The sequence below is a fragment of the Homo sapiens genome, chromosome 19 (genome assembly GCF_000001405.40).
Source record: "Homo sapiens chromosome 19, GRCh38.p14 Primary Assembly".
In the NCBI taxonomy this organism is placed as follows: domain Eukaryota; kingdom Metazoa; phylum Chordata; class Mammalia; order Primates; family Hominidae; genus Homo; species Homo sapiens.
In genome coordinates this window covers 57,486,788-57,498,580 of record NC_000019.10, presented here as the reverse complement: position 1 = coordinate 57,498,580, position 11,793 = coordinate 57,486,788, and the positions used below count along the sequence as shown (strand labels likewise).

Below are 11,793 nucleotides of genomic sequence, written 5' to 3'. Positions count from 1 at the left end.
CGGGTGTGGTAGCAGGTGCCTGTAGTCCCAGCTACTCGGGAGGCTGAGACGGGAGAATGGCATGAACCCGGGAGGTGGAGCTTGCAGTGAGTGGAGTTCATGCCACTGCACTCCAGCCTGGGCGACAGGGAGAGAATCCGTCTCAAAAACAAAAAAAAAGAAAAGAAAATATCGCTCTGGTTTTGTAATGATAAAATAGAACCTACATATATTTTGTGTTATGCATTCTTGGCATACCTATTTCAATGAATTCTGGTTTTTTGAAATTGTCTCAAATATTCAAAAATTTTTTCCAGTATATTTATTGAAAAACATTCACATATAATTGGACCTGTGCATTTCAAACCTGTGTTATTTAAGGGTCAGCTGTACTGTCATGAAACCACCAACACAGTCATGATAGAGAAAATTACCATTGCCTGATAACGTTTTCCTGTACTCTTTCAGTCAGAACCTTCCCCCTCAGACCGCAGGCTCAATAACCAGTGATCTGCATTCTTTTACTCTAGTTTTGCAGCTTCTTCATTTCATATAAATGGAATCATACTGTATGTCAACTTTTGTGTCTGGCTTCTTCCACTTGGCTCAGGGATTTTCAGATTTATCTATGATATTTTTACTTGTATTCATAGTTTATTCTTTTATGTTGTTGAATGGTATTTTATGTTAAGATATACCATAATTGATTATTCATTCTTCTGTTCACGGAAATTTTAGTTTGTGTGTGTGTGTTTTAAAAACAAATTCTGGTGTTTGGGTTTTATAAATAAAACTGCTGAGCATGCAAGTGTAAGTATTTCTAGAACATATGCTTTTGTTCTCTTGGGGATATCCCAATAGGTAAGATTCCTAAACTATATGGTAAGCTTATGCTACCTTTAAAGCTGCTACACTGTTTTCTGAAGTTGTTTTACTACTTTTGCAACTTTCTTGAAAAGAGATTGACAATAGAGTGTTGTGTGAGTGTATTTCTGGGTTCTCTGTTCTCTTCTGTTCATCTCTGTCCTTTAGCTAATACTGTACTCTCAATTACTGTACGTTTGTATGTCCTAAAGTCATAAAGATTTTCAAACTTATTCTTATTTATAAAATTGTTTTGGCAATTAGTCCAGGCCCTTTGTATTTCCATGTAACTTTTTAGAATACATTTGTAAATTTTTATTTAAAAGATTAGGTTTTTATTAGGATAGTTAAAGGAAAACTGACAACTTCAAAGTATTAAGTCTCAGATTCAGGAACTTCTTGTGTCATTTATTTATGCCTTGTTTAATGTCTCTCAGGAATGTTTTAAAGTTCTTGAACATATTTTGTTAAATTTATTTCTAAATATTTCATATTTTTATGCTATTGTGAAGTACATTTTTTCAGTTGCCAAGCATGTATTTGCTAGCTATATACCAACCTAGTAGAGACACCTACTTTTTATACACTGGCCTTTTTATCTTAGGACCTTGCTAAACTCAATTATTAGATCTAGTAGCTTTTTAGTAGATAATTTCGAATTTTCAACATTATCATGTCATATGTAAATACAGACAGTTTGGGTTCTGCCTTTACAATCATTAGATTTTTTTTTTAATGAGAAGTGATGAATGTTGACGTATTTATGTTATTCCTAATGTTGGGGAAAATCAGCTTATCAAATATTTGATCACATATATATCAAATGTGCTGTTAGCTGTTTTTCATAGATGTGCTGTATCAGGTTGAAGAAATCACCATCTTGTTTAATTTGTTGCATGTATCATAACCTAGTTTTGAATTTTGTAAAATGCTTTTATTACATTTTGAGATTTTCATTTTAGTCTGCTAATATAGATTAATAAAGAGTTTGAATTGTTGAATCAAACTTGTATTATTGATAAACCTCACTAGGTTATGATTTATTATTGTTTGTATATGGCTGGATTCAATTTGCTAAATGTCTTTTTGTTTTGTTTTAGCATGAGTGCAAGTTTATTTAAAAAGGCTTTAGAACAGGAAAGAAAGGCAAGTATGCTTGGAAGAGACCCAAGGGGGTGATTTGAAGGACGAGTGCCTCAATTTGCTAAAATTTTCTTAAGGCTCTGTGTCTATATTCATGTGATTATTGGTCTATAGTTTTGTTTAATGTCATTGCCTGCTTTAGTGTCCTGTTAATGCTAACTTTCATATAGTCCAGAATTCTTTGAACCTTTGTCCTCTTGGAAGTTTGTATACAATTGGTATTACTTCTTCCTTTTTCATAAAAGTTCTTATATATCCTAGGAATGACCCTCAGCTGATGCCATCAAGAAAAAGGAATCTCAGTCCTACAACCACGAAGAACTTAAATATGCTAACAACTGAAATAAGCAAGAAACAGATCCTCCCTGAGACTCTAGAAAGGAACATAATCATGCCAACACTTTGATTTTAACCCAGTGAGACTTCTGTTATATTTGTGTTGTTTAAACCATAAGTTTGTGGTGATTTGTCAGGATAGCAATAAAAAGCTAATATGTCAACATTATTCTGTGAACATTTATTTATTTTCCAATGCAGTATTTCCTCAAATCATGTTGTACCTTTTCTGCCACAACTTGAAAACAGCCTCTTCTCTAAGGAGTTCTGGTTCCTTTTATTAAAAAATGATATAAACCAATAACTGGGTATTAAATGTGCTCAAAACTACTGGAATGCCATGGCTTGCTAGGCTCTCAGTAAAGATAGGGAATATGTACACATTTATCTATATATTGAATTATTTATTTGTAGTTAAACCTACAAATATTTCAGAAGTTGGATATTTAAAAAGATTCATAAGATTACAGTAGCATACTCACATAAGGCTTTTTTTTTTTTTTTTTTTTTTTTTTTTTTTTTTTTTTTTTTTTGAGACAGAGTCTGGCTTTGTGCCCCAGGCTGGAGTGCAGTGGCGCAATCTCGGCTCACTGCAAGCTCCGCCTCCCGGGCTCACACCATTCTCCTGCCTCAGCCTCCAGGATAGCTGGAACTACAGGCAGCCGCCACCACGCCCAGCTAATTTTTTGTATTTTTAGTTGAGAGGGAGTTTCACTGTGTTAGCCAGGATGGTCTCAATCTCCTGACCTCGTGATCCACCCGCCTTGGCCTCCCAAAGTGTTGGGATTACAGGCGTGAGCCACCGCACTCAGTCAAGGCTTTTATTTATAGGCAAAGATATGGTATAGTAAGAGGATGCAACACCAAATGCACAATGAATAAAATAACAAATGGATAAATTGGGCTCCATAAAATTAAGACAATCTGCTCTAGGAAAGATACTGTTAAGAACTGAAAACAAGGCCAAGCATGGTGGCTCATGCCTGTAATCCCAGCACTTTGGGAGGCTGAGGCAGGATGATCACTTGAGGCCAGGAGTTAGAGACTAGTCTGTGCAACATAGCACGACCTCATCTCTAAATTTTAAAAAAGAAAAGAAAACAAAAGCCATGGACCATGAGAAAATATTGACAATGCTTATATCAAATAAGGAATTTGTCTCCAGAAATATTAAGAACTTGTAACCAACCAAATGTTTTAAAAAACAGGCAAAAAATACATTTGACTAAAGAAGATATATGGGTGACAAGTAAACACATTAAAAAATGCTCAAAACTGAGTCATCGGAAAAATACAAATTAAGAACTACAATGAAATACTACTTCACACTTAGTAACATGGCTAAAATGAATGGCCTATGACTTCTACACATATAAACTGTCAGTAATGTGAAGAAATGGAAAATCTAATATATTCCAGGAGGAAATATGAAATGCTAACCATTTAGAACACAATTTGGCAAGTTCTTAAAATTTGAAACATTTGGATCAACTTACAGAATAACTGAATGAGGAGCTTTGCAGACCTGTTACACAGCCAAAAGGGTGAAAATTATAAAAACACAATTCAGTCTCTGGAAATGGTCATAAGGGTGTATGGGAAATAAATATTTATTAAAGAAGATCTAACATTCACAAGAACAGCAAAAGTGAGTCACATTTGAACCAAGACCACTCCTTTCCTCCCCCAACTCCAAACTCAGCGAGATCAAAACTCCATTCGACGGGTACAGCCAAGAATACAGGGCTCCCTCTCTCTGGAGCTCCAAGGCAGAGGGCTGTCTTCTCAGGAAGGACAATCTGTCAGGAATTCTCATCTTGCCTCCAGTGTGCATATTTAGATGAATGATGTTCAATTGCCAGCTCCCTCATAAAGGCCATCCTCAGAGTTTCTGTTTTAAGTGAGGTCATATTGATTCAGAGACAGTACATAACCTGTCACCCTAAGGCCTTTCTCCAGTGTAAACTTTCTGGTGTTGAATAGGGTTAGGCCTTTGGCTGAAACCTTTTTCCATATTCACTACATTGTCCACATTGTAAACTGTCCAGTGTTGAATGAGACTGGAGGTGTGGCTAACGGATTTCCATCTGTTACCTTCAAGATTTTTTCCACTGTGAACTTTCTGGTGTTGAATGAGGTTGAAACGCTGGCTAAAGGATTTCACACAATCACTGCATTTCTCCAGTGTGAATCCTTCGATGTTTAAAAAGACTGGAGTTGTGGCGAAAAAACTTCCCACATTCCCTGCACTCATAAGGCTTTGCTCCAGTGTGAACCCTCTGATGTTTAACAAGGCTGGAATTCTCTCTAAACAATCTCCCACATTCATTGCACTTAAAAGGCTTTTCTCCAATGTGAACTTTTCGATGTTGCATGAGGGTTGAGCTTTGGCTAAAAAATTTCCCACATTCCCTGCACTCATAAGGCTTTGCTCCAGTGTGAACCCTCTGATGTCTAACTAGGGTGGAATTCTCTCTAAAGAATCTCCCACATTCATTGCACTTAAAAGGCTTTTCTCCAGTGTGAACTTTTTGATGTTGCATGAGGCTTGAGCATTGGGTAAAAAATTTCCCACAGTCGCTGCACTTGTAAGGCCTTTCTCCAGTATGAACACGCCAATGTTTGATAAGGTTGGACTTGTGGCTATAGAATTTTCCACATTCACTGCACTTATAAGGTCTTTCTCCAGTGTGAATTCTCTGATGTTTCATGAGGCTGGAGTTGAAACTAAACAATTTTCCACATTCACTGCACTCATAAGGCCTTACTCCAGTGTGGATTTTGTGATGCTGAACAAGTGTGGAATTATGCCTGAAAGCTTTTCCACATTCACTGCATGTAAAAGGCTTTTCTCCAGTGTGAACTCTCTGGTGTTCAATGAGGTGAGCATTACGGCTAAAGGATTTTCCACAGTTACTACACCCGTAAGGCCTTTCTCCAGTGTGAACTATTTGGTGTATAAAAAGGTTGGACATATCTCTAAATAACTTCCCACATTCACTGCATTCATACGTCTTTTTCCCAGCATGTAGTCTCTGGTGCTGAACAAGTAAATATTTCTGACCAAAGGCTTTCCCACATTCACTGCATTTGTAATGCCTTTTTCCAGCATGAAAGGCCTCCCTACTTTTGGAGCTCCTATGTGACTTCTCTCCTGTGTGAGTCACCTGGTGCTTGAGAACACCTGAGCTGATCAGGAGGGCCTTCCCAACCTCCCTGCTTTGCAAGGACTTCTCTGATAGGTGAACTTTGCAACTCCTCAAAACTGGGACCCTGCCCTCTTGTCTTTTTAAGGGTTTCTCTCCACAGTGCTGCTTCTGGTGTTGCTGAATGTTTGAACTGAGCAGTCCTACAGAAGCAATCTGCTCAGGAGCCTCCTCAGCCTCGGCTCCATGCCAACAACCTGACAGAAGATAAATGTTGAAGAAGTAAATGTAGACTTTGGTGTGAGGAGGCAGCACTCTCACAGATGTGTCTAACACACCCAGTAATTAGTGCCTGGGGCTGCTAGCAGAAATAAAGAGGGCTAGCTCTCAGCAGGGAAGGGCCTGCTGTGCAGTGCTGAATCTGGCCAGCTCAAGGATTTGGGGAGGCCTCATGAGCACCAAGGATGCAAGGATGGGGTATAGCACAGGGAGGAGAGGCAGTGTCCCCAACACAATCCTCTGCAAATGGCTTTCCACAGGACTTTGGCTGCTGGAGACACAGGAACACGGCACAGAAGGTTATGTCCAGGTCCAGAAAAAACCAACTGCAACCAAATAGCTGATGCTCAAGGACTATGCAAGGATAAGCATCCACCTCACCACACATTCAGTGAAAGCCACTGCTGAAGGGTTCTGCTGATGACTGGGTGAAACATGGAGGACAGAGAGGTGGGGAATGGCCCTAGGTCAAACATCAGAATAGATATAAATGGGTGACTAAGGAAGAAAAGATAGAAATCAGCGACAACCCCTTGCCTTGGTATCAAAATATCTGGGCCTACTGGTATGATATGAATCCATCCCTGAGTTCACACCTCCCTGAGCTCCACCCACCAACTACCTCTCGGTATGGCTGAAGTCACAACTTCCCAAGCAGGCATGAAGGGCTCCTCCCATGACTCCAGCTGGGTTATTTCATGGGTCTTGGAAGATGCAAGTCCTAAGGAAAACGACAGGTGAGTGGCAGCACTGAGCCAGAATGACTTATCTCATCATGGACCACAGGAAAGAAAACAAAATAGTACAGAAAGAACCTTGGAGGAGGGTCTTGCAGGAACAACACAGTCAAACAGCAATCACATTGGTGACTCAATTGCTGGCACAGACCGACACCCAGGTATGTTGGCTAGAGGAGACAGGCAGAATGTAGGGGAATAGAACTACCACAGATCTGCACAGTGTCACCAGGCCACAGAGAGGCCACCAGGGATAAGATCCATCAAGCTGACTGCAAGACTCCTGACCCCCAAACCCTTTCCTGCACAGCTGTGGGGCAGCTTGGGGAGAGAAGGTGGTAGTATACACAGCCCAGGCCTATTACAATAGCTACTTCAGGATACTGGAGAAGGAATGAGTGCCCACAGTTCAGCTTTGGGAAGAACAGACCTCTCCCTAGGAAAAGGAGGAAAAGCCGAGCCCAGCTCAGGATGCTGGGGTGGGGTGTGAGAACCTTACCCAGAGAGGCCAGAAGTGTAAAGTTCTCCAGCATCACATTGCGGTAGAGGAGCCTCTGAGCGTCATCAAGCAATCTCCATTCCTCCTGGGAGAAGTAGACAGCCACATCCTCAAAGGTCACATAGCCCTGCTAAGATGGACAGAGTAGAGTTTATCTGCAGCCTCCTTACTGGGAAATTTAGGCATCTGCCTAAACATCCACCCCTGCTCACCCTCTTCCTTAATCCCCATCTCAGAGGAGAGACCCTGCCCCAGAGCCACTGATGCCCACTCTCTCCTCATGCTCCCACTGAGCAACAATAGGCAGGTAGGCAGATAAAGTCCATCTCAGCTCTGGGCATGGTATGCAGAGTCCTACTCTTCTCTTGCCAGACAATTTACCTTGGATCCCCTAGACTGTGTTTCTCAAATACAATCAAATTTGTGTCAGTGTTCTCCCTGAAGCCCCCAGTACAAGGTCCTGGGGACATCTGTTTACACTTATTAGAATGTGCACATACTTTGTACCACAACCACTACCCTCTACATCACCTCATGTGCTTCCCCTAGTGTCACCACATGCCAGTCTACACATGGCATCCAGAGGGCACTTACCAAATGCAATCAGAACTCCGTGCCATCCCAGACCCCCAATGGCACTGACTGCCAGGGCCAATCCTCAGCCCCACTTTGAAGGCCTCCCTCCTTGGCTCTTTTTCTTGCTTCATCTTTAGCTACTTGGAATTGCACACATATCAGGACACCTCAGCTCAGCTCCTCAGCCAATCACTTCATGTTGGCCTTATACCCGCTGATGCTTCCCCCAGACATAATGGAGATCTGAGGTTGTCTAAGCATTCCCAGCTCAACCTTACCTCCATGTATTTTCTAATGTTGATCACTATGCCTTCTAAACCTCCTGTCATTGGTTGCCAGAAATGAGAACCTCTCCATAGAATACATAGTCTGGGTTGGGCACGGTGGCTCACGCCTGTAATCCCAGCACTTTAGGAGGCCAAGGCGGGCGGATCATCTGAGGTCAGGAGTTTGAGACCAACCTAACCAACGTGGAGAAACCTCTCTACCAAAAATCCAAAATTAGCTGGTGTGGTGGCGCATGCCTGTAATCCCAGCTACTCGGGAGGCTCAGACAGGAGAATTGCTTGAACCCAGGAGCCAGAAGTTGCAGTGAGCCGAGATCGCGCCTTTGCACTCCAGCCTGGGCAACAAGAGCAAAACTCTGTCTTAAAAGAAAATAATAAAAATAATATATAGTCTGGACTCAGGGCCCTGACTGTGTGTGACCATCTTCCAGGGAACTCAAATGGAAGGGTAGGGAGAATAGCCAGCAAGGAGCCTCAAGACACCATAATTCTGAAGACCATGTAGGTAGGAGTGCAGGAGTGTGAGGACCTGAGACATCCTCCACTTACCTCCTCATGGTCTGTAAGCAAGTCTGCAGCCACAGGAACCTATGGAAAATCAAGACTATGAGAACCAGACAGTGATGTTGCCAAAGGATCATCCAAGCCCACTCGTCTAGCCTGGAGTCAGGTGTGCCTGACTATCTACAATCTGGGCTTTGGTTCTTAGTGATGCCTCTTACCTGTTGTGTGCCCTTGGAAAAGTGCTCAACTTCCCTGTGCCTTGGTGTTGCCATCTGCAACATGGCAATAATAATGGTATTTACTCAATAGGACGATTGTTTGTATCAAACTCATTCTTATGTGTCTAGGACTAAGTATCAACTCTTACTGTACACATAATTAATGCTTCTGTCAACATTTTCAGCGCAAATAAACTGGTAGGTTTTCAAAATGTGGGTTTCTGGCTAGGCGCAGTGGCTCACACCTGTAATCCCAATGCTTTGGGAGGCCGAGGTGGGCAGATCGTCTAAGGTCAGGAGTTTGAGACCAGCCTGGCTAACATGGTGAAACCTCGTCTCTACTAAAAATATAAAAATTAGCTGAGCGTGGTGGTGCATGCCTGTAATCCCAGCTACTCAGGAGGCTGAGGCAGGGGAATCGCTTGAACCAGGGAGGCAGAGGTTGCAGTGAGCAGAGATTGCACCATTGCAGTTTAGCCTGGGCAACAAAAGCGAAACTCTGTCTCAAAAAAAAAAAAAAAAAAAAAAGAAAGAAAGAAAGAAAAAGAAAATATGGGTTTCTTAAACTTACTTTTAAATTAAGAATGTGATACTTAAGGTGCTTTATTTTAATCAAATACTTTCCAGTATACTAACTTTACAACCAATTATGAAGTGCTTACATCAGTTTAACTTAATAAATCCGTGTTGTTTTATTTGCCCCTGTGTGTATATGAACTATGATCAATTAGTGCTTAAATACTTACCTCATAAATTCACAAGTTAATAAACTGGGACCTGGGTCTGAGAAACCTGAGCACATACCATTCCTTTTGGCAACCTGGCTGCCTGCTATATACTCCCCTGAAGACCATCCTGCTGAGAGCCCTTCTACTGGAGCAGTTGATCATCCCTCCTGTGCTGACGGCTAGGGAAACTTAGGCACCAAAGGGGCTGCTCCAGCAGCCTGGCTGACGTTTCCTTTTGTCCATACGGACTGTACATGAGGAACTGCTGAGCCTGGAGTGGCAAACCTATATACTACTCAACACTGCAGTCTCCATGCAGTCCTGGGTCTTCATACTCTATAACCCTCCATTCCGGCAGACACCAGACAGAACCACTTCTGACCACAAAACTCCATGCTATAGAGGCAGCCCCGTCCTACAGGGCCATCTCTCCCTTCTCTCACCTTAGGGCCCATCTGAAAGGGAACCTTAAGATTCTCCCTCCTAAATAGGAGCCCCAGGACTTACCCTAGTCCAGGCCTCTACCCAACCAGCCCATATCTACCATATCTCCAGCCCAGATCCCTCCCCAAACTTCCAGATGTGAGTGGGCAAGCTGCCCATGTGGACACGACACCTCCACTCTGGGTCATCTCAGGATTACCATGTCCAAAACCTACTCCCTGCACAGCCTTACCCATCTCCATCCTTCCTGATATTCAGGAACAAACAAACAAAAATACAAATAAAAATCCAGAATGGCTCTTCATTCCCTTTCTTTCAGTCACATCTGATGCAACAGGAATTCCTGTCTGTTCAGTTTTTGATATCCATCCAAGATCTGATCACTTCCCCTCCTCTGTGGCCCAGTCCCAGTAGACTCTCCACTAGTCTACTGAATTTACCTACTCACAGGTCTGTCTTCACCCGCCTCACCCCCACCCCAGTCTGTTTTGACTTGAAGGGCCTTTGGCAAACTTTGAGAAACAGATCTTGTCACTCTTCTGTCTCCAGCCCTCCGCGGCCACTGTGGCCCCCTCAGGATGAAAGCGCAGCTGCTCGGGCTGTCGCTCGACACGCGCCTCGTCCCTTCCCAAGCTGCCCACTACAGACACCAGGAGGCCTCAGGTTCGGGACTCGCTGAATGCGCCTCACATCTTTGCGAGCCGGGCCCCTTGCCCTCCATTGCCACCCCATCACACTGCGTGTCAGAAACGGGACGCCGCGCACGAACGCCCCACAGTTCTGCACCCGGGGACCTGAGCAGGCGGCCCTCACAGGGCTTTAGGATTCGGGGGAGGCCAGGAGGACGCGGCGCTCACCTGAGCGGGGTCCCTCAGGGCGGCCGCCGCCATCGGAGCCTGTGAGTAGAGCTGGAGGGGAGACAATGACCGAGGAAAGGGCCCGGGCCACCCTGGGCGCCGCCACCGAGCCTCAGACCCGCCTCTGAGCGGCGAGAACAGCGTGAGTCGCCACCGTGCCTTCCGGCGCTGGTCGCCTCAGCGCACAACCAGCTTCTCGCAGGTTAGTTCACCTGAGTCGCGAAAGTGAATACCAAACGAGACGCCGGAAGTCCCGCCCATTGCGTGTCGCACGCTCGGGCAGACCTCTTTTCATTGGTCAGGGATCGCCGCCTCGCGGCGCTGCGCCTTTTGGGCAATGTAGTTCCCGTGCCTCCAAACTTCCAGGAAGTGGGCATAACTTCGGAGATGGAGATTGGAGATGATAGATGATGATGGAGATGGAGACGGAGATGGAGATGATGATGGAGATGGAGATAACGGAATAGGAGATGGAGGAGAAATTAGGGTTGAGAACTTCTCTCGGACTCATCCAGAAACTGCTGTTTTTGGAGATGGGCCTGGATTTCAGTTTCCTGCAGCTGATACCCCAATCTTTCCTTCTTTTGAAGGAATTGAAGAGGATCTTCAGGGCCACAGTAAAGAGGTTTCTCTGGGAAGAGCCACGTATAGATCCCCAAATTTCCTTTGACAAAAGGACACCCAATATTAAAATTAACGGTGGCCAAGCAATGCCTGATGTATGACAATAAGAAAAGGCTCTGAATTCTGGATGTAGGTGATGAGAGAGTATGGGAGCCCAAGGATTTACTTTCCTCCTTTATCCCATGCTCATTTGTGCTCCTTCCTTCCTCAAAGACCCAACATTGGTGTACAGGCACAACAATAGGCGGCAAACCCATGAGGCAACTCCCCCTCCATTTCTCTCCTTCATCCCTTTATGCTCCATGTTCCCACTGCTCTTCCATTTCCAAATATAAAGCCAGTTCCTCACAGGTGGGTAGAATGCTAGACTGTTGTTTACAACACACAACTATTGATAAAAAAAAGATGTCAACCCTTTATTATGTGTAGTCCCACTACATCCATTCCCATTGAATCTAGTCCCCTCGTGTCAATCTAATTTCCCTACTTCTTTTCCTGCCCCTTCCATCTGTTGGCTGAATAATGATCAATTTCAACACAGCATTGGAGTGACTTATGAGGACAAGAGAAAA

General features: G+C 43.7%; 1 protein-coding gene across 10 annotated transcripts, besides 1 other annotated feature; it reads right to left on the bottom strand.

Annotated features, from left to right (window-relative positions):
- On the bottom strand, positions 2,483 to 10,831 carry ZNF419 (zinc finger protein 419). 10 transcript variants are annotated; one of them, NM_001098491.2, is made up of 5 exons: positions 10,598 to 10,831; positions 8,396 to 8,434; positions 6,984 to 7,113; positions 6,370 to 6,468; positions 2,483 to 5,725 (listed from the first exon to the last, which is right to left on the bottom strand). In NM_001098491.2, the coding sequence occupies exons 1-5, from the start codon at positions 10,628 to 10,630 to the stop codon at positions 4,491 to 4,493; spliced, it is 1,536 nt and encodes a 511-aa protein (NP_001091961.1). In that variant the 5' UTR covers positions 10,631 to 10,831; the 3' UTR covers positions 2,483 to 4,490. The 10 variants fall into 10 exon arrangements, with proteins under 10 accessions (NP_001091961.1, NP_078967.3, NP_001278673.1 ...); NM_024691.4 differs by having other exon boundaries at positions 6,984 to 7,110; NM_001291744.2 differs by lacking the exon at positions 6,370 to 6,468 and having other exon boundaries at positions 8,396 to 8,450.
- Positions 10,543 to 11,043: an enhancer, noted in NCBI's record as "H3K27ac hESC enhancer chr19:57998906-57999406 (GRCh37/hg19 assembly coordinates)". NCBI's record gives its function as "activates a minimal SCP1, AML or CMV promoter by ChIP-STARR-seq in primed H9 embryonic stem cells {active_cell/tissue: H9 hESC(primed)}" and the evidence as "EXISTENCE:reporter gene assay evidence [ECO:0000049][PMID:30033119]".

Excerpts from the sequence above, each read along its gene's own strand:
- ZNF419 (NM_001098491.2), bottom strand. The coding sequence starts at position 10,630 with ATGGCGGCGGCCGCCCTGAGGGACCCCGCTCAG. Across the intron at positions 7,114-8,395 it reads TGCTTACAGACCATGAGGAG|CAGGGCTATGTGACCTTTGA; the intron begins GTAAGTGGAGGA and ends TGTCCATCTTAG. Across the intron at positions 6,469-6,983 it reads TACACTTCTGGCCTCTCTGG|GACTTGCATCTTCCAAGACC; the intron begins GTAAGGTTCTCA and ends CGTTTTCCTTAG.